A 22,605-nucleotide genomic window follows, 5' to 3' on the forward strand; every position below is an offset into this window, starting at 1 on the left:
GCCCAGTACATGCACCGTTCAAGGAGGGCCCCCTGCTTGGCTGGGACCACGAGGTTCCAGAGGCCCCCAGGTGAAATCGCCTAAGGGAGCGGCCCATGACAGGGACAATCTGCTCTGCTCTCTGCTTTCGTCCACTTGGAACAGAGTGTTCCTGCCTCTGAAACATAAGAGAAAGGGGGAAAGACATTGGTACTGAGCACTGAAGACTGTCGGTTCACCTGGACCCAGAACCCAGTCATAACATCCCACAGAACAAGAACCCTTCTCTCGCAATTCCTCCAACCACCATACTTACGGACACTGGCATGTGACAGCTTCCAGAAAATGGAAATGCCCACCCAGGCTTTCACTCACACAAGGAAACCTGCATGCTGTTGGGCAGTCATATTTTTTATTTGAGATGATCAGCATTTTTCTGTACATTTGACTACAGGATAACAATAAACTCATAGTAATCCTACAGCCCCTGGGACATTCCCACTGCCTTTCTTTGGAGGAGCTTAATAAGATTTGAACAAAGTGCACTACAGCATCTCTCAGGGCATCCTTGTATCATGTGCTTATCACTTTGGGATGTCTCCTGTGCATCACGCACCTTCTATGTGCCAGGCTGGGCTGGGGACTTTGCCTACCTTATCCAATTTAAGTCTTGCAACAACCCGCAAGGAAGTTTTTTGATTTTTTTTGAGATGGAATCTCCCTCTATTGCCCAGGCTGGAGTGCAGTGGTGCAATCTTGGCTCACTGCAACCTCCACCTCCTGGGTTCAAGTGATTCTCCTGCCTCGGTCTCCCGAGTAGCTGGGACAACAGGAGCGCGCCACCACGCCCAACTAGTTTTTTTGTATTTTTAGTAGAGACGGGGTTTCACCATATTGGCCAGGCTGGTCTCAAACTCCTGACCTCGTGATCTGCCCGCCTCATCCTCCCAAAGTGCTGGGATTACAGGCATGAGCCACCACGCCTGGCCAGGAGTTCTTAACACCATTCTACAGATGGGGAGATGGAAGCTCTCCTCTGATCAATTGTGCCAGAATTTCAGACAGAATGTCCTGTCCACATGGTGTAGGGGTGACGTGTTAAACCATTTGGGCTGCAATAACAGAATACCATAGACTGGGTAGCTTATAAACAATAAACATTGATTTTTTACAATTCCAGAGGCTGGCAAATCCAAGATCAAAGCATTGACAGATTCAGTGCCTGGAGATGGCTCGTTTCTTGGTTCATAGATGGCGCCCCTCTCACTGTGTCCTCACATGGCAGAAAGGGTGAAGGAGCTATCCAGAGTTTCTTTTATAAGAGCACTAATTGGGCCGGGCTCGCTGGCTCATGCCTGTAATCCCAGCACTTTGGGAGGCCAAGATGAGCGGATCACGAGGTCAGGAGATCAAGACCATCCTGGCTAACACGGTGAAACCCCATCTCTACTAAAAACACAAAAAAAATTAGCCAGGCGTGGTGGCAGGCGCCTGTGGTCCCAGCTACTCGGGAGGCTGAGGCAGAAGAATGGCATGAACCTGGGAGGCGAGGCTTGTAGTGAGCTGAGGTCGCACCACTGCACTCCAGCCTGGACAACAGAGAGAGACTCATCTCAAAAAAAAAAAAAAAAAAAAAAAAGCACTAATTGCCTCCCAAAGGTCCCCACCCCCTAATACCATCACACTGGTGATTAAGTTTCAACATATGGGTTGGGTTCGGTGGTTCACACCTATAATCCCAGCCCTTTGAGAGGCCAAGGCAGGAAGTGTGCTTGAGGCCAGAAATTTGTGACCAACATGGGCAACATAATGAGACCTCATTTCCACAAAACATTAAAAGAATTTTTTAATTAGCTGGGCATGGTGGTGCATGCCTGTAATCCCAGCTAGGTGAGAGGATCACTTGAGCCCAGGAGCTCAAGGCTGCAGTGAGCTGTGATGGCACCACTGCACTCCAGCCTGGGAGATAAGAGCAAGACCCTGTTGCAAAAAAACCCAAAAAGTTTCAACATGTGAATTGGGGGAGGGGCAACAAACGTTCAGACCAAACGTTCATGGGAGCCCGGGTCGGGGTGGACTGTGGCTGAGTTGCTGATTACTTCTCAGCTTCAGGTTCCTCATCAAGAGCATGGAGATAATATGTGTACTTCATAGCAGTGACTGGATCTTGACTGTACATTCAGGTCACCACCTGTTCAGACCCCACCCAGGACCAGTTAGGTCAGAGCATGGGGGTCTAACCTTGCTCTTCTGTCTGGACCTCATCCCGAGGTTTCAGTCACAGTTCTGGAGGCCGGAAGTCTGAAATCCAAGTGAGAGATTTCGAGGCTCTAGGGGACCATCCTTCCTTTCATCTTCCAGCGGCTCCAAAATTTCCTTGGTTTGTGACTCCTTAACTCCCATCTCTGCCTCTGTCCTCGCACAACCTTCTCCTCTGTGTCTTCTCCTCTTCTGTATCTTATAAGGACACTTGTCATTGGATTTAGGGCCCTCCCACTTAATCCAGCATGATCTCATCTCAAGACCCTTAACTTAATTACATCTGCAAGGACCTTTCCCAAATAAGATCACGTTCATAGATAGATACTAGGGGTTAAGACCTGGACATATTTTTGGGGAGGATTTATTTAACCCACAGCAGACATCTTGCACTCTGTTTTCTGATTGCACTGAGTTGGGACCCAGCAGGGGTTTCAAGACACGTAATCTCGGTCACACTAAAGTCCAGCCTTATGACGTTTTATAATTGGCCAGACCTTGAAACTTGCCTGTGGAAAGGCCCAGGGGATTTTTAACATCGGGGATGAAGGTTGAGGTTTATAAACCTCTTTTTAAAATAAGGAAACCTGGAAATGGAGGATTAAAATGTAAAATAATTCTGTTCTTTTATAAAGAATAAGTGCTATAACAAGAGTTTGAATCAGGCCCAAAACACTACAGACATTCTAGAAATACAAAACAGAAATATATACATATTTGGAAATGTTGTAAGAGAGGTCAACCGATGTGTGAAGGGGGCAATTTAGATACTGAATGTTCGTAAACCCAAGTGAGAAAATGAGAAAGAAAATGACTTCATAAAGAATGGGTCTTGGGAGGTGTTAAGGAGGACAGTGAGGAGGAGGGGGTAGAATGTGAAAAGAGAAGTTTGCAGCAACTGGACTATTTCAGATAAGACCAGATAATTTGGTTCCCTTCCCCTCCCCACCCCCGTTTTTTTTGTTTTGTTTTGTTTTGTTTTGTTTTGTTTTTGGCTCATCTTCATTCAAAAGCATTTACCTGGATGTTCATTTCTAATCTTGAGTTTTGATTAAAGGAGTCCTTTCCCTTACCTCCCTCTAGCTCTTTGAAAGTGAATCCTTAATTATAGGCCATGTTTGAGATTGACTAGATGAAATCAACAGCTGTAGATATGACACCAGACTGCAAAATATCGACACAATGTTGCCATAAAAAGCCCAATTGTTAATTGCTTATTTGGCACTGGGCTATAACAAAAACACCCTTTTTCTGTTTAATATTAAAAGTAAATGTAGTGGAAAGAACATCGAGCTAGAAGTAGGGTAGGCTGGGATTCTAGTCCCAGCCCTATTGCCGAGTGCCTGTGATTTGGGGGCAAAGCATTTTATTTTTCTCAGGCCCCGGTGTCCTTATCTATAAAACTGAGGGCATGAAACCAAATTACCACTTTCAGCTTAAAAATTATATTCTTAATCATGAAAATACAGCATACTTCTCATTTCTATCCTTTTTCCAAAACTTTATTTCACAATACCCAAATATAATTCTATACTTTTGTCACGCAATCAGGAACCACACATTGATTTAAGCATCTACATCGTTTTTGCTGTGCAAGCAATACTTTTCCAGTCTTATTCTGAACTGAAGTGAGCTGTCAGTCCCGACAATTCTCAACTGCTTTGGAAATGCAATCCACTGGTGTTCCATTTTTAATACCGTGAAGTCTTGTTTTATTCTTGAAGAATATGAATCTGAAATGTACATGAAGATGCTGGAATAGATACCATCTCAAACTCAGCTGTCATTGACTGAAGAAACAAGCCAAGGGCAGTCCATGAATCAGGGAGGGAGGGCAAGGTCGGGCACAGCCAACTGGTCCAGGTTCCTCTTGCTCAGTCAGACCCACTGTGCAGGACCTGAAGGGCAGGAAGGCAGCTCAGACTATGGCCCTGGTGACAGTGACAGGAGGGCAGCCAAATGCCTAGGCAGATAGGGGTGGGACCCCAGTGAAACCCCACTTCCAAGCCAAAGACAGTTTAAAGCCTGAAAGCCAAGCTACAGGTTAAATCCTCAGACCAGATTGAGAACTGGCCTTTCCTCTGATTGATCCCCACCCTTCACCTATTTTAAATATGCCTACTCTTTCCTAATTGGTTATCTACACTGTCGTGCCCACTTTTGAGTGGTATCTTCACTTTAACCTTTTTTGCATACTCACAAACCAATCAGCATGCGCTCCCTATTGTTAGCCCATAAAAGCCCCAGGCTCAGCCATATTAGGGGACTTTCCCACTTTGGGATAGGTAACCACCCCACCCCCAGTATCCTCTCTTTGCTGAGAGCTTGCCTTTCGCATAATAAATTATACTCCACTCACTCTCTGGTGTCTGCATGCCTAATTCTTCCTGGTTGTGAGACAAGAACTCGGACCTAGCTGAGCTAAGGAGCAGAAAAAATCCTGCATCACTGGTTTTTATTTTATTTCCCTGCCTCTGGTGCCTGCCCACCTTGCTTTGTTTGCTGGGTTGTCTCCTACATCTCTGGGTTACCAGGAGCTTGGACTCCTGCTTTCCTCTACTTGCCGTCTTTGTCCTATCCTTTACTTACTCAGTTGCTTACCCAAGCAGGAAGACCTCCACTTAGGTTCTCGAGGGTTTGCCTGTCCATATTCTGGTCAACTGCAGGGGGGAAGCCATGTCTTCTAAGCCTCAAGATAGTTGTTTACGTGCAACTATCAGAGGTAAACACCCATCATTTACCTCTGTTGGGAGGAAGTCAAAAGACAGATGGGGAAAGAAACCAAATTTCCCTGTTTAACTCCACCTCCTGTATTTTAACTCATGAGAGCTTCTTGAGAGGTATAAATTTCCTTGTTTTCAGCTTTCAGGCTTGTGGCTGATTGTGTGAACTTTTGGTGTGCTCTGGGAAAGAACAAAGCAGCATTCATTCTCTTCATCTTTGGTAATCCAGTTAATGCACCTGTTTTATAATATGCTTGATGGATGTGTTTTGTTACCTGTTGCTGAGCAACAGCCCCAAAATTTAGTGGCTTAAAACAATGAGAGTGCATTGTTTCTCACAATTCTGCACTCTTGACTGGGTTTAGCTGGCCAGATCTGCTCTTCATGATGTGAGCTTGGATTGAAATATCTCAGATGGCCCTTTCACTCAACGTGGTCTCAGCTGAGATGGCTGGAGCATCTGAGACCTGGTTGAGCATGTTGCCACATGGTCTCACCACATGGCTAGCTTGGGCCTCCTCATATCATGGTGCTCTAAGGTAATCAGCCTAGTCTTCTTACATTGTGGAGGGTTCCGGTTTCTGGCTTCCAGCTTCTCTTGAAAGGCTAAACTGACACAATGTCTCTTCTGGTACATTCTGTTGGTCAAAACAAATAACAGACCAGTCTAGATTCAAGGGGTGGGGAAATGGTGAGGGGAACAGCATGTCAGCACAGTGGGGGAAGGAATTGATGGTGGCCATCTTTGGAGATGTATGGTAGATAATCTCTCAATTTATTGGTCTTCTCTTTTCTTTTTATTTTTTTCCAAATTCAACATTATTTCTTATTTTATTTTTTAAACATACAAAAAGCTGTACACAGCTTTTTAATTAACACATACAGCTTGATGATTTTGGACATAAGTATACACCTGTGAAACCATCACCACAATCTATGCCATAAATCTTTTTTTGTTTTTTGTTTTTTTTAGAGACAGAGTCTTGCTCTGTCACCCAGGATGCAGTGCAGTGGCGCAATCTCAGGTCACTGCAACCTCCTCCCCCCAGGGTTCAAGCGATTCTTGTGCCTCAGCCTCCCAAGTAGCTGGGACTGCAGGCACACACCACCACACCCAACTAATTTTTTGTATTTATAGTAGAGACAGGGTTTTGCCATGTGGCCCAGGCTGGTCTTAAACTCCTGAGCTCAGGCAGTCCACCTGCCTAGACCTCGCAAAAGTGCTAGGATTACAGGCATGAGGCACTGGCTGCTATGCCATAAATCTATCCATCACCTCCAAAAGTTTCCTCCTGCCCTGTTTTATTATTTTATTATTATCTTTTTACTCTCAATGGCATGATATGGTATAGGAACACAGAGCAGGCAGGAACTAGTCCCATGGCCTCAAGCAGCAAATTTCCCAGCAATTCCGGGGTGCTATGGAAAAGCATGTTGTCTCTGCCCTGGACTATAGGATTGGATACATTACTTAAATGCTCCTTTGACTGCCTTGGGAAATGCAATAATGGCTAACATCAATTGAGCACTTGCTACGGGCCAGGCCCTATATTAGTCTTTTTCATGTATCATATATATTTTATTTTATTTTATTTTATTTATTTATTTATTTATTTGTTTATTTATTTATTTTTGAGATGGAGTCTCACTCACTTTGTCACCCAGGCTGGAGTGCAGTGGCATGATCTCAGCTCACGGCAGCCTCTGCCTCTTGGATTCAAGCGATTCTCCTGCCTCAGCCTCCCAAGTAGCTGGGATTACAGGCACATGCCACCACACCTGGCTAATTTTTGTAGTTTTAGTAGAGATGGAGTTTCAACATGTTGGCCAGGCTGGTCTCGAACTCCTGGCCTCAAGCAATCCACTCACCTTGGCCTCCCAAAGTGCTAGGATTACAGGCATGAGCCACCATGCCCAGCCTCATGAATCACATTCTCTTTTTTTTTTTTTTGAGATGGAGTCTCGCTCGGTCACCCAGGCTGGAGTGCAGTGATGCGATCTTGGCTTGCTGCAACATCCACCTCCCAGGTTCAAGCAATTCTCTTCCCTCAGCCTACCAAGTAGCTGGGACTACAGGCGCCCGCCACCACGCCCAGCTAATTTTTTTTTTTTTTTTTTGTATTTTTAGTAGAGATGGGGTTTTACTATGTTGGCCAGGCTGGTCTCAAACTCCTGGCCTCCCAAAGTGCTGGGATTACAGGTGTGAGCCACCACGCCCAGTCGAATCACATTCTTAAATTAGCATAGTCTTTCCAGGCCTATGCATATGATTTCGGTGGTGGTTTCCGGGTTGGTTTAGGCAATGGAAACACAACCTGGCAAAATTAATAGAGAAGATTCAGAAATGTCACCCACAGTCAAGGTCACGAGCCCCTCCCTTCAGACTCACTTACTCCCTTCAGATACTTATTATTCATTCTCTTTTCCTTCCCCCTTCCCAGAATCTCTTTTGTCAATATTGTTCTACTCCATTAGCAAAACAGACTTTATATCCTATTAATCAAATATTTGTCCCACTTGAGTCCCTTTCTCCCCTCACCCCCAGGCCCACTGTCTTCCTGCAACAGAGACCAAGAAGGAAGGACCCTGAAGGAAGCTCAGGGAACCCTGATCTTCAGTGTAGGGTTGCGTCTGTTCTGAGTGGAGGGAAGTGCTCTGTGACCACACATGCCCCTCCTACACCCCCAGGGCAAAGAAATGTGGTCAAGGTGGAAGGCAGTGCAGTACCTGGTTCTCATGGAGCACACTCAAGAAACGTGCTCAGGATCATGACTCTGATAATATGACTTTAGGCTGGGTGCAGTGGCTCACGCCTGTAATCCCAGCACTTTGGGAGGCCGAGGCAAGCGGATCACGAGGTCAGGAGTTCGAGACCAGCCTGGCCAACATGGTGAAACCCCATCTCTACTAAAAATACAAAAATTAGCCAGTGTGGTGGCACGCACCTGTCATCCAGTTACTTGGGAGGCTGAGGCGGAAGAATCGCTTGAACCCGGGAGGTGGAGGTTGCAGTGAGCCAAGATCACGCCACTGCACTCCAGCCTAGGCAACAAAGTGCGACTCCATCTCATAATAATAATAATAATAGTAATATGACTTTAGGTAGGACCATCAGCAAACCCAGAGCCAGTACATGCCCTGAAAAACCCACCGACGCAACATAGCATTTTTCAGATTGTATTTTTTAAATGTTTATAATATGTCATTTACATACCATAAAGCTCACCCATTGAAAGCGTACAACTTGGCCGGGTGCGGTAGCGTATGCCTGTAATCACAGAACTCTGGGAAGCCGAGGCAGGTGTATCACCTGAGGTCGGGAGTTCAAGAACAGCCTGGCCAACATGGTGAAATCTCATCTCTACTAAAAATACAAAAATTAGCCAGGTGTGGTGGTGCGTGCCTGTAATCCCAGCTACTTGGGAGGCTGAGGCAGAAGAATTGCTTGAACCCAGGAGGCGGAGGTTGCAGTGAGCTGAGATTGTGCCACTGCACTCTAAACAGAGTGAAACTCCATCTCAAAAAAAAGAAGAAAGTGGTGTATAATTCAACGTTTTTTTCATATACTTATCTAGTTGTGAGCCATCATTTTAATCTAATTTTAGAACATTTTAATCACCCCAAAAGGAAATTTTGTTTCTGTTTGCCGTCATTCTGCATACCACTCCCTTCCCCCAGCTTTAGGCAACCACTAATCTGCTTACTTTCTCCATAGATTTGCCTCCTCTGGACATTTCATATCCATGGAATTATACAGTGTGGCCTTTGGTGGTTGGCTTCTTCTACTTAGTAGCATGTTTTCTGAAGCTCATCTGTGTTGGTGCATGTATCAGTACTTCATTTCTTCTTTTTTTTAAATTTCAACTTTTAGATACAGGGGGTACATGTGCAGAATAGTTATATGGGAATATTGTGTAATGCTGAGGTTTGGAGTATGGATCCTGTCACCCTGTGGTGAGCATAGTACCCCATGGACATGATTTCATTCTTTTTTATGGCTGTGTAGTATTCCATGGGCACCTAGATTGATTTCATGTCTTTGCTTTTGTGAATAGCACAGTGATGAACATATGAGTGCATGTCTTTTTGGTAGAATGATTTCTTTTCTTTGGGCATATACCCAATAATGGGGTTGCTGGGTTGAATGGTAGCTCTGTTTCATATGTTTGTTGGCCACCTGTATGTCTTTGAGAAGACTTCATTTCTTCTTATGGCACAGTAATATTTCATTGTATGGATATAACACATGTTGTGTATCTGATACAGGCAAGCCCCTAAATGGGTGCTTAGCCCAGGAGGTTCTTGGCTTCACCCAGGAAAGAATTCAAGGGTGAGCCGGTGGTGTTAAAAGTTGAAGCAGTAGGCCGGGCGCGGTGGCTCCTGCCTGTAATCCCAGCACTTTGGGAGGCCGAGGCGGGTGGATCACGAGGTCAGGAGATCGAGACCATCCTGGCTAACACAGTGAAACCCCCGTCTCTCCTAAAGATACAAAAAATTAGCCGGGCATGGTGGCAGGTGCCTGTAATCCCAGCTACTCGGAAGGCTAAGGCAGGAGAATGGCGGGAACCTGGGAGGCGGAGCTTACAGTGAGCCGAGATCGCCACTACACTCCAGCCTGGGCAACACAGCGAGACTCCATCTCAAAAAAAAAGGACAAAAAAAAAAAAGTTGAAGCAGTAGCAGCAGAGGTGCTGCTCCTTGCAGAGCTTGACTGCCCCCTAAGCAGTGTGCCCAGAATAACAGCACAGAGGCAGTGCTCCACTCATTTTATAGTCACTTTTAATTATATGCAAATTAAGGGGTGGTTTATGCAGAAATTTCTAGGATGCGGGTGGTAACTTCCACGTTGTCAGGTCATTGCCATGGAAAGGGGCAGTAACTTCACAGTGTTGCCACAGTGATGGTAAATGACATGGCCGCTTCTTATGGAAACCTGCTTCCGCCCTAGACCTGTTTTAGCTAGCCCTCAATTTGGTCCAGTGACCGAGCGAGCTTCTAGAATCAAGTCTTCATTTCTCAGTGTTTGTTTTGTTTTGTTTTTTGTTTTTTTGTTTTGAGATGGAGTCTTGCTCTGTCGCCCATGCTGGAGTGCAGTGGCGTGATCTTGGCTCACTGCAACCTCCACCTCCTGGATTCAAGCAGTTCTCCTTTCCCAGCCTTCCCGAGTACCTGGGACTACAGGCAGATGCCACCACGCCCAGCTAAATTTTTGCATTTTTAGTAGAGACGGGGTTTCACCATATTGGTCAGGCTGGTCTCGAACTCCTGACCTCAGGTGATCCACCCACCTCGGCTTCCCAAAGTGCTGGGATTACAGGCGTGAGCCACTGCACCTGGCCTCATTTCTTCCTATGGCATAATAATATTTCACTGTATGGATATACCACCTATTCTGTATCCATTCATCAGTAATGCAGTTGCTGGGTAGCTCTGTTTTAAGTTCTTTGAGAAGTCTCCAGACTGCTTTCCACAGTGTGGACTAATTTACCCTCCCACCTACAGTGTATCAGCATTCCGTTTTCTCCACGGCCTCACCAGCATCTATTGTTTTTTGACTTTTTAATGATAGCCATTCTGGCTGGTGTGAGATGGTATCTAATTGTGGTTTTGATTTGCATTTCTCTGATGATTAGTAATGCTAAGCATTTTTTCATGTTTCTCGGCGACCTGTATATCTTCTTTTAAGAAGACTTCATGGTCAGGCATGGTGGCTTACGCCTGTAATGCCAGCACTTCGGGAGGTCGAGGCGGGCAGATCACTTGAGGTCAGGAGTTCGAGACCAGCCTGGCCAACATGGTGAAACCCCATCTCTACTAAAAATACAAAAAATTAGCTGGGCGTGGTGGCGCATGCCTGTAGTCCCAGCTACTCGGGAGTCTGAGGCAAAAGAATTGCTTGAACCCAGAAGGCGGAGATTGCAGTGAGCCGAGATCATGCCACTGTACTCCAGCCTGGGCGACAGAGCGAGACTCCATCTCAAAAAAAAAAAAAAAAGAAGAAGAAGACTTTGTTTCTTTGTATGCCAGAATAATATTTCATTGTGTGGATATACCATATATTGTGTATCCATCAATCAGTTCATGGAAATGTGTATTGTTTCCCTTTTTTGTGGCTATTATGAATTAGAACATCCATGTACATGTTTTGTTTTTTGGGGTTTTGTTTGTTTGTTTGTTTGTTTGTTGAGACAGGGTCTCACTCTGTCACTGAGGCTAGAGTGCAGTGGCATGTTTACAGCTTAATGCAGCCTCAATTTCCTGGGCTCGAGTGATCCTCCCACCTTAGCCTCTCAAGTAGCTGCGACTATAAGCATGTGCCACCACACCTGGCTAATTTTTGTATTTTTTGTAGAGAAGGGGTTTTGCCATGTTGCCCAGGCTGGTCTTAAACTCCTGGACTCAAGTGATCCACCTGCCTCAGCCTCCCAAAGTGCTAGGGTTACAGGCGTGAGCCACTGCACCCAGCCCATGTACATGTTTTTGTGTGGATATGTGTTTTCAAGTCTCTCGGGCAGATATCTAGGAGTGAAATTGCTAGGTTAAATGGTAACCCTATGTTTAATCTTTTGATGAGCTACTGAAATGTTTTCAAAGTGGCCACACTATTTATATTTCTGTCACAATGTATGAGGGTTCCAGTTTCTCCCTATCTTTGCCAATGCTTGTTATTGTGAACATAGAATTTAACTAGTCTTTCACTTAGGTATTTACCAAATTTTGGCTAAGATTCTGATGTCCCAGCCACATGTGTGTGATACGTCGAATAGGGTTGAAGCATTCACTCAACAAGCATGTATTCAACATCTGTGATGTACCCACCTGCCAGACCCATGACAGGGGAAGCTTCAGAAGCAGAAAGGAGGAGCCCTCATTCTGAGCCACCCAGGAAAGGGTCCTTGGAGGGGATGACACTGAAGTACTTTTTTTTTTTTTTTTTGAGACAGAGTCTCTGTCACCCAGGCTGGAGTGCAGTGGCACAATCTCGGCTCACTGCAACCTCCGTTTCCTGGATTCAAGCGCTTCTCTTGCCTCAGCCTCCCTAGTAGCTGGGATTACAGGCATGCATCACCATGCCCAGCTCATTTTTTTATATTTTTAGTAGAGACGGGCTTTTACCATGTTGCCCAGGCTGGTCTCAAACTCCTAACCTCAAATGATCCACCCACCTTGTCCTCCCAAAGTGCTGGGATTACAGGCCTGAGCCACCGTGCCTGGCCAAGTGTTTTTTTGTTTTGTTTTGTTTTGTTTTTAATACAGCTGGGATCTTGCTATGTTGGCCAGGCTGGCCTTGAACTTCTGGCCTCAAGCAATCCTCCTGCCTTGGCCTCACAAAGTATTGGGATTAAAGGCGTGAGCCACTGTGCCCGGCCCCTAAGTTAAGTCTTGAAGCAAGGAAAGGAGAATCAGGCAGAGTGCAGGACTTGGTGGGGGAGAAGGAACTTCAGGAAGGGGGACCAGTGCCTACCTAGGAGGTTCCAGACTCCTGGGGCTTTGGAGAATGAGGCCAGCAGAAGCTTCTTAAGGCTCACGAGAGAGGTGTGGCTTTGGGAGGCTGGTCCGGAAAAGATGCCAGAAAAATAAGTAATAACATCAAAGGCCTTGTACCTCCTTCCTGCCAGGGCATATTACTTTTATGCTACACTCATGGTGCCATGGACAGATTTTGAGGAGGGGAGTTTACATCTGGGAGGCCACCGTGGCAGCAGAGTGGGGAATGGTGGATGGAGAGATTGAGAAGAGGCAGGAGGGCAAGCATTCACCCGCTACTTTGATGAAGGCCTGGCGTCAGCTGGCATGGAAGTTGGCCCTGGGAGTGCACTGTGTTTTTTAGGGGAGCTACAGTTGTGGAAGTGGTCACCATAGCAAAAAGGTCCTAACAGAGGAGGCAGATCTGTAAGGGAAGTCAAGGGCAGCCTGAAAGCCCTCTTTAGAGGCCAGTGCCAGATGGCCTTGGCGGAGCCACGGCCAGATCTGAGAGAATAAACCTGTCTTTATTTGTAAGCAGCCTGCTTTTACCTCCCAAGCCCACCCCTGAGACACAGTCTGGTCTGCATTAAAAGGGCTGGGGCTGTCCCAGCCAATTTGATTTTGTGTCTCATCCTATCTACTTCTCAACACAGGACCCCTTGACTGCCAGGTTTCTCCTGGGAGGGGAGATGCCAATTTTCTGCTTCAGCCTGTAGACTCCGCTGTGTGCTGTGAGGTTCTTTCCCTTCCTGGGGTCCAACATCCCCGTGAACAGGACCAGGACTAGCCCCAAACCCACAGCTGGACAGCAGATCCTGGAGCAGCTGCACGTCTTCTTTATGATAATGAAAACTGGCTGGGCCCGGTGACCCACGCCTTTAATACCAGCACTCTGGGAGGCCGAGGTGGGCAGATCACTTAAGCCTAGGAGCTTGAGACTAGCCTGGGCAACATGGCAATACCCCATCTCTACAAAAAATACAAAAATTAGCCAGGCATGGTAGTGTGCACCTGTAGTCCCAGCTACTTGGGAGGCTGAGGCAGGAGGATTACTTGAGCCTGGGAGGTCAAGGCCGCAGTGAGCCATGATCCTTTCTCAAAAAAAAAAAAAAAAAAGTACTGAAAATTAGCTCATACATACATATTTAAGCATAATTACTGGGTTTTATATAGTTTACATGTTCTAAGGTATCTCTGAAAAAAATAATCTTCTAATGAAATAATCAGCAAATGATTGGCTAATGGCAATCATTAGACAAATATTGGATGATTAAACTTAAAAAAAAAAAAAAACCCTTGCTGGGCACAGTGGTTCATGCTTGTACTTTGGGAGGCCTAGCACTTTGGGAGGCCAAGGTGGGTGGATCACTCGCGTTCAGGAGTTCGAGACCAGCCTGGCCAACATGGCAAAACCCGGTCTCTATTAAAAATACAAAAATTAGCTGGGCATGGTGGCGGGTGCCTGTGATCCCAGCTACTTAGGAGGTTGAGGCAGGAGAATTGCTTGAACTCAGGAGGCAGAGGTTGGGGTGAGCCAAGATCAAACCACTGCACTCCAGCCTGGGTGACAGAGCAAGACTCCATCTCAAAAACAACAACAACAAAAAAACCCTTTTACCTGTTTTTTTCATTCTTGTAATTGAAGTATAATACAAATCTTAAGTGTAAAACTCAGTGAATGTGTACACGTTACATCCAGGTCAACATATAATCATCCCAGAAGTTTCCTTCATGTCCCTTTGCACCAAGCCCCCACCCCCAAAGAGATTACTGCTCATCTAACTTTTATCACCATACATAAAGTTTTGCTTGTTCTTGAACTTCAATTTGAATCATACAATGTATATGCTATTGCATTTGGCTACTTTTGCTTAACATAGCATCAGTGAGAGTTGTACACGTTTTTGCATGTATCAGCCATTTGTTCTTTTTCATTGCTGTGTAGTATTCCATTGTGCACCTAGACCACAATTTATCTGTCTAGTTTCTTGCTTATGAACATTTGGACTGTTTCCAGTTTTTGCCTCCTGTATTTAAAGCTGTCGTGAGGCCAGGTATGGTGGCTCACACCTGTAATCCCAGTACTTTGGGAGGCCAAGAAGGGAGGATCACTTGAGGTGAGAAGTTGGAGACCAGCCTGGGCAACATAGTGAGACCCATCTCTACAAAAGAAGAAAAGAAAAAATTGAGGCCAGGCACGGTGGCTCACACCTGTAATCCCAGCACTTTGGGAGGCCGAGGCGGGCAGATCACGAGGTCAGGAGATCGAGACCATCCTGGCTAACACAGTGAAACCCCGTCTCTACTAAAAACAAAAAAATTAGCCAGGCGTGGTGGCGGGCACCTGTAGTCCCAGCTACTCGGGAGGCTAAGACAGGAGAATGGCGTGAACCCGGGAGGTGGAGCTTGCAGTGAGCCGAGATCGCACCACTGCACTCCAGCCTGGGCGACAGAGCGAGACTCCATCTCAAAAAAAAGAAAGAAAGAAAAAAAGAGAAAAGAAAAAATTGAGACACAATATAATTCACCCTTTTAAATAAATGTGCAATTCAGTGGTTTTTCGCATATGCACAAGGTTGTGCAACTGTCACCACTGTCTAATACCAGAATGTTTTCATCACTCCAAGAGGAAATGTTATATCCATTCATAATCACTCTACATCCCTTCCTTTCCTCAATCCATGTCAACTACTAATCTACTTTCTGTCTCTATGTTTGTTTGTTTGTTTTTGAGATGGAGTTTCGCTCTTGTTACCTAGGCTAGAGTGCAATGGCGCAATCTTGGCTCACCACAACCTCTGCCTCTCGGGTTCAAGCAATTCTCCTGCCTTAGCCTCCCGAGTAGCTGGGATGATAGGCAGTAGGTGGGATTACCACCATGCCCAGCTAATTTTTGTATTTTTAGTAGAGATGGGGTTTCTCCATGTTGGTCAGGCTGGTCTTGAACTCCCGACCTCAGGTGATCCGCCCGCCTCAGCCTCCCAAAGTGCTGGGATTACAGGCGTGAGCCACCACACCCAGCCCTATTTCTATGTTATTTAATACTTATTCCTGACATTTAATAATGATGGTCAAACTTTTAATATATCAATTTCTTTGATTTTTTTTTTTCTAGGATCCTAAGCACTTCAAGTCAGAGAAGACAGGACGGGGACAGTTGAGGGAAGGCTGGAGAGATAGTCATCAGCCTATCATGTGCTCCTACAAGCTGGTGACTGTGAAGTTTGAGGTCTGGGGGCTTCAGACCAGAGTGGAACAATTTGTACACAAGGTAAGTGGTCCAACAGCAGTTCCTGGGCTGTGGACAAGGTAACTGTCTATATTGCCAAATTGGAGTCCATGATACACAACAGGTGCACAAATACATCAGGTCACTGCATCTCAAAAACACTTTTTGGGCCGGTTGGGGTGGCCAACACCTGTAATCCTAGCACTTTGGGAGGCCGAGGCGGGTAGATCACTTGAGGCCAAGAGTTCAAGACCGGCCTGGCCAACATGGTGAAACCCTGTCTCTACTAAAAATACAAAAACATTAGCTGGGCATGGTGGTGGGTGCCTGTAACCCAGCTACTCAGGAGGCTGAGGCAGGAGAATTACTTGAACCCGGGAGGCAGAGATTGCAGTGAACCAAGATCGTATTATTGCACTCCAGCCTGGGCAATAAGAGAGAAACTCTGTCTCAAAAAATAAGAAATAAAAATAAAAAATAAAAAAATAAAAAATACTTTTTGGATGAAAATGCATTTTATGCATAGGTTCAATTTTCTTCCACTAATAGATGTTTTATGCCCCATCTCTCATTCTGTGACCTCCATGTCTATTAGGCAAGCGTATTTGGGAAACACACTTCTCAGTTTGGTATTGGACTCATCTACTCCCAGACAGAGAAACTTGGGAAACAGCCAAAGGGCTTATCTGTGAGCACAGCCCCTAAGGTTAATTGCCACCCAAAAGATCTACAAATGTAAGCACCTAAGCAGAAGATGCCCAGAGGTAGAACAAGAAATCCCAATAGTCCCATTAGACAGTATACCCCAGCATTTCTGCTTCTTTAATAATTCTGTTACTAAAGTAGCCAGGTGTGGTGGCTCATGCCTGTAATACCAGCCCTTTGGGAGGCTGAGGCAGGTGGATCACTTGAGGTCAGGAGTTCGAGACCAGCCTGGCCAACCTGGTGAAACCCTGTCTCTGCTAAAAATACAAAAAAATTAGCCGGGTGTGGTGGCACGTGCCTATAATCCCAGCTACTCAGGAGGCTGAGGCAGGGAGAATTGCTTGAACCCAGGAGGCAGAGGTTGCAGTGAGCCAAGATCGTGCTGCTGCACTCCAGCCTGGGTGACAGAGCAAGACTCCATCTCAAAAAAAAAAAAAAAAAAAGGAAATAATAAGAATAATTCTGTTACCAAATAATTGTTAACAGCCTCGGGATGCAGATTTCAATTGTAAACCTACTTTGGCTAAACATGTTCATTTTGGTTTTTTGTTGTTGTTGCTGCTGCTGTTGTTTTGAGACGGAGTCTCACTCTGTCGCCAGGCTGGAGTACAGTGGCACAATCTCAGCTCACTGCAACCTCTGCCTCCCGGGTTCAAGTGATTATCCTGCCTCAGCCTCCCGAGTAGCTGGGACTACTGGGAGGTGCGCACGCCACCATGCCCAGCTAATTTTTGTATTTTTAGTAGAGATGGAGTTTCACCATGTTGGCAGGGATGGTCTCGATCTCTTGACCTCCTGATCTATCTGCCTCGGCCTCCCAAAGTGCTGGGATTACAGACATGACCCACCGTGCCCGGCCGGCATGTTCATTTTGTAGCAGAATCCCACTTGGTGAAGAGTCATATTTTCTCAGGGTTTCTAACATGACTCTGTCCCTCATGGGAGAAAAAAATGGGAAATGCAATGTTGAGCATTGCCCTTTGTAGCTGCTCTCATTTTCATAAGAATAAATACTACCCAAATTGTCTCTACATTCCAGATAGGCTGGTTATCTGTTTATTTTTCCACTTAAAAACTGATAAGAGTAGCTTGCCAAAATTATTTTGGAGTCACTGGAATTTAACCTTAATGCACTGAGCTTTTTGTTACTTAGATGGATTTGTCTATTGAGATTGGGGGCCAGTTAACAATAAAAAGTTTAATTCTGGAATTTAGGTCCAAGAACTAGACTGCCAGTCTCTTGAACCCTCATAACTCAGGCTCACGGTAATGGCAGACTCTGGCACAAACATGAGAGCCCTGGGTGTTTTCTTGAACAGAGAAGCATGCCACTCCTTTCCCGTGCTCCAGAACCCAGCCAGCCAGCCAGGAGCCAGAATGAAATGTGATACGTAGAAATCAAGCTCCAGGATCTCCTGTTTTCCTCCTGTGTCCTGATTATTGCACAGGAAAGCAATTGCAGCTCCCAAAGTAAATGTTTTCCAGCCTCAGCTTTGTGTCTATCTAAGGCAGTGTCTTCCTTGGTTTCCCACAGCATCCCTTTTTGTGTGTGGCTTTTTAAGGTAAAAAGACTTCCTCTTACTAGGGCCACTATCATAGTATTATTTTGTTTTGTTTTGTTTTTTTGAGATGGAGTCTCAATCTGTTGCCCAGGCTGGAGTGCAGTGACATGATCTCGGCTCACTGCAACCTCCACCTCCCAGGTTCAAGCAATTCTTGTGCCTGAGCCTCCTGAGTAGCTGAGGCACAGGTGCATGCCACCACACCAGGCTAACTTTTGTATTATTAGTAGAGACGGGGTTTCACCATGTTAGCCAGGCCAGTCTCGAACTCCTAACCTTAAGTGATTTGCCTGCCTCGGCCTCCCAAAGTACTGGGTTTACAGTCGTGAGCCACCATGCCCGGCTTCATAGTGTGTTTTCCACTCACAAAGCATATTTAATAAGGCAGAGTTGTCAGTTAAAAAGAGAATAATACAAAATAAAAATAAGGCTGGGCGTGGTTCACACCTGTAATCCCAGCACTTTGAGAGGCCGAGGCAGGCAGATCACTTGAGGTCAGGAGTAGTTCGAGACCAGCCTGGCCAACATGGTGAACTCTCATCTCTACTAAAAATACAAAAATTAGCTGGGCGTGGTGACAGGTGACTGTAGTCCCAGCTACTCCAGAGGCCGAGGCAGGAGAATCACTTGAACCCAGGAAGTAGAGGTTGCAGTGAGCCTAGGTCGCGCCACTGCACTACAGCCTGGGGGACAGAGCAAGACTCTGTCTCCAAAATAATAATAATAATAATAATAATAATAATTTAAAAGGCCATATTTATATTGCCCCAGGGTCCACTGTGTTTCTTTTCTCACAGATGACTCAGGCTAGTTTTGAGAATCTGTTTCCTGAAAATACCTGTAAGATTTATGCCTTGCCCTTTCCAAATATAAGGAAGTGTTATTGACACTCCAGAAACGCACCTGCTCTCGCACGTGAGTCGCTAATGAGTATCTGAGGCTAGCATTTGCATGGGTTGAAGGTGCCAGGGATGCCTTTCTCTGAACACCTTTGTTTTTTTAAGAATCTATTCACAGTTAAGGGGAAAAAAATGTTCGAAAGCGAGCCATGAGCACATTATTGAATTCTGGTTTCCAGCCGACAGCTGTGTTGTGCTTCGTGTAATAGGGTACATTTACTGATGCCTCGATGCTGTTCTTTTGATTTCCATGAATTTGAGACACTCAGCACTCAAGTGTGTATAGCTGTGTGTTGTTTCTTGTATTCATTATGTGTTTCCTACTTTCAAGTCATAAAAGCCTCACTAGATATCCAGAGGCCTGGAGTCATAAACACTTCATTATAAATGCTTTCCTTGTTTCTGCAAATTCACTGAATTAAAATCCTTCATTTATTGAAACATGCTTGAACCTTCCACGAGAGGTTTTTCACAATCACTGGATTTGTTTGGCAGGAAGAAAGGAATGTTACAGGGATACTGTGAGTATCCAAGAAATGTAAAAAGACATATTTACCCAGGATGGAAAAGAATACCATGAAATAAAAACACATGAACAGTATCTCACACACGCAGACACACACACACACACAAATGGTATATACTATTTTCCTTAGCCTTCTATTGCCATTATGTGTCACCATAAGAAACAATTTCATCCTTTTTGTGTCCAGTCAAGCTTGTCATTCCCATTACGTTCTATTCTAGTTCAGGTCTCTTTTTTCATCCTTTCAATGGTAAACGGCCTTTTTCCCCCTCTTCTATTACATGAAAGTCAAACCTAAAAGGATATTTACTTATCTTGTATCTCACACATTCATTTATGCTTGTTTAAAAATTGAGGCCAGGCGTGGTGGCTCATGCCTGTAATCCCAGCACTTTGGGAGGCCGAGGCAGGCAGATCACAAGATCAGGGGTTCGAGACCAGCCTGACCAACATGGTGAAACCCCGTCTCTACTAAAAAAATACAAAAATTAGCCGGGCATGGTGACAGGCACCTGTAATCCCAGCTACTCAGGAGGCTGAGGCAGGAGAATCACTTGAACCAGGGAAGCGGAGGTTACAGTGAGCCGAGATCGCAGTGAGCCGAGATGGCGCCACTGCACTCCAGCCTAGGGGACAGAGCGAGACTCCGTCTCAAAAAAAAAAAAAAAAAAAAAAAGATAAAAAGAAAAATTGAATCAATATTTATTTTTTAAATAATTTTTTGTGGGTACATAGTAGGTGTAAACATTTAGGGGGTACATGAGATGTTTTCATAAGGCCTGCAATGTGAAATAGGCACAATGTGAGGAATGGGGTATCCATCCCCTCCAGCATTTATCCTTTGTGTTACAAAGAATCCAATTACACTCTTAAGTTATTTTAAAATGTACAATTAAAAAATTGAATCAGGCTGGGTGAAGTGGCTCACACCTGTAATCCCAGCACTTTGGGAGGCCAAGACAGGTGAACTGCTCGAGGCCGGGAGTTTGAGACCAGCCTGGACAACATGGCGAAACCCTGTCTGTACTAAAAATACAAAAATTAGCCAGGCATGGTGGTGCGCACCTGTAGTCCCAGCTACTGAGGAGGCTAAGGCACAAGAATCGCTTAAACACAAGAGGCAGAGGTTATAGTGAGTTGAGATTGCACCACTGCACTTCAGCCTGGGGGACAGAGCAAGACTGTCTCAAAAAAAAAAAAAAATCAGTATTTAGGATATGTCATCAGAAAAGAGGGAATGTTAAGTGCTGTTCACTTTTTAGGATATGTCATCAGAAAAGAGGGAATGTTAAGTGCTGTTCACTTTTTAGGATATGTCATCAGAAAAGAGGGAATGTTAAGTGCTGTTCACTTTTTAGGATATGTCATCAGAAAAGAGGGAATGTTAAGTGCTGTTTGCTTAGAAGTGACTTGCTGTCGGCCAGGTGCGGTGGCTCACATCTGTGATCCCGGCAGTTTGGGAGGTCGAGGTGGGTGGATGACGAGGTCAAGAGATCGAGACCATCCTGGCAAACATGGTGAAACCCCATCTCTATTAAAAATACAAAAATTAGCCGGGCATGGTGGCCCACGCCTGTAGTCCCAGCTACTTGTGAGGCTGAGGCAGGAGAATTGCTTGAACCCTGGAGGCAGAGGTTGCTGTGAGCCAAGATCGCGCCACTGCACTCCAGCTTGGCGACAGAGTAAGACTCTGTCTCAAAAAAAAAAAAAAAAAAGTGACTTGCTGCCTAGAAAAGTGTTCTAGATTTCCAAAATTTATGACCTCCTGGCACCAGTGAGACACACCCTCCCACAGATGAAAAGTAGATGCTGTTTTAGTTAAAAATAAATGGAGAGAAAAACTTCAAGGTAATTAACCTAGATATTTATTTGTATCACTGCTGTGTGACTGTCAAGTATTTGTCATTAGTTTGTACACACACCCAGCCCTACTCTCAAATAAGACAAAGAGATGAATATACTGCAAGTGTGTGTACACCATGGGGAAGGGCTGGAGGTGTGTGAGCACTATAGGACCTATAGGCAGCCTGTAATTGTCATCACCTATGGACAGAGGGATTAAGAACTCTGTAATCACCAAGATCCCCAGAATTGTTAACAACTTGTCTTCCAGATAGTTTTCATCAAAGATGCTATTATTTCAGTCTCCTTCTTTTACTTTTTAGGTGGTCCGAGACATTCTGCTGATTGGACATAGACAGGCTTTTGCATGGGTTGATGAGTGGTATGGTAAGTCAATTTCTCCAAAATAACTTGTAGAACAACTTCATGTTGTCTCGGGCTTTCTGTCCATTTGGCTTCAACTGCTACCTAGAAGGACAACAACAAAGGCAAGGCCGCTGCTTCCTGTGTTGGAAATAGCACTGTCTGCCAAGCATAATGAAGATGTAATTATAGAAGCTTGGTCTAAAATAACCACAGAATTATTGACTAAGTAGGAACCTCAGGATGTTTGATGCTTACATAGTTGATACGCATGGCTCCATCATTCTCTGTTAGATGGGTTTCAAACCCATCCTAATTTATCCCAAACTTCAAGATCAAAGCTGTCTGAAGCATCCTGTCAAGTAAAAGCAGTCCTTTGATTCAGACAACATTTGAAACCACCCCTTGCCGGGCGCAGTGGCTCACGCCTGTAATCCCAGCACTTTGGGAGGCCGAGGCGGGCAGATCACGAGGTCAGGAGATCGAGACCATCCTGGCTAACACGGTGAAACCCCGTCTCTACTAAATAATACAAAAAATTAGCCGGGCATGGTGGCAGGCACCTGTAGTCCCAGCTACTCAGGAGGCTGAGGCAGGAGAATGGCATGAACCTGGGAGGCGGAGTTTGCAGTGAGCCGAGATCGCACCACTGCACTCCAGCCTGGGGGACAGAGCGAGACTCCGTCTCGGAAAAAAAAAAAAAAGAAAGAAAGAAACTACCCCTCAACAAATATATACAGGTTCTGCAAGAATTTAAGGGCAGACAGAGGCATAGGTGCCCCGTTCATCCTAATTGAAACTATTGTTCTGGCTTTTTTTTCATGATCTGGGAAGAGTTAAACAATTTCTACACATTTGCAGCAAATGAAAACAAGGTTAGCTTCATCCCATGATGGATGGACCATCCTTCCCAGGTCCTCAGCAGTCTTGTTTTGTCCACATGAATTTTCTGCACTCCCAGAATCAGTCATCAGATGGCTACCGTCCTTGGCTATAAATAGAAAGGAACACGCCCCACCGGTGACTTAGGTTAGATCTGATTTTCAGGTCG

General features: G+C 45.2%; 1 protein-coding gene and 1 long non-coding RNA gene across 6 annotated transcripts in view, besides 1 other annotated feature; one reads left to right on the top strand and one right to left on the bottom strand.

Moving 5' to 3' along the window:
• Positions 1–22,605, top strand: part of PITPNC1 (phosphatidylinositol transfer protein cytoplasmic 1) — a 319,976-nt gene that overhangs the window by 276,684 nt on the left and 20,687 nt on the right. For all 3 annotated transcript variants that reach the window (NM_181671.3, NM_012417.4, XM_047435746.1), the window contains exons 7-8: positions 15,544–15,699; positions 21,515–21,578. In NM_181671.3, the coding sequence (NP_858057.1) occupies positions 15,544–15,699; positions 21,515–21,578 (220 nt within the window). The remainder of the gene's footprint in view (positions 1–15,543; positions 15,700–21,514; positions 21,579–22,605) is intronic.
• Positions 1,129–1,630: an enhancer, noted in NCBI's record as "H3K27ac hESC enhancer chr17:65651209-65651710 (GRCh37/hg19 assembly coordinates)". NCBI's record gives its function as "activates a minimal SCP1, AML or CMV promoter by ChIP-STARR-seq in primed H9 embryonic stem cells {active_cell/tissue: H9 hESC(primed)}" and the evidence as "EXISTENCE:reporter gene assay evidence [ECO:0000049][PMID:30033119]".
• The window catches only part of LOC101928045 (uncharacterized), a 42,523-nt gene continuing 41,109 nt past the window's right edge, over positions 21,192–22,605 (bottom strand). For all 3 annotated transcript variants that reach the window (NR_188293.1, NR_188294.1, NR_188292.1), the window contains one exon: positions 21,192–21,659. This is a non-coding gene — a long non-coding RNA (uncharacterized LOC101928045). The remainder of the gene's footprint in view (positions 21,660–22,605) is intronic.

The sequence above is a fragment of the Homo sapiens genome, chromosome 17, assembly GCF_000001405.40.
Source record: "Homo sapiens chromosome 17, GRCh38.p14 Primary Assembly".
Taxonomy (NCBI): Eukaryota; Metazoa; Chordata; class Mammalia; order Primates; family Hominidae; genus Homo; species Homo sapiens.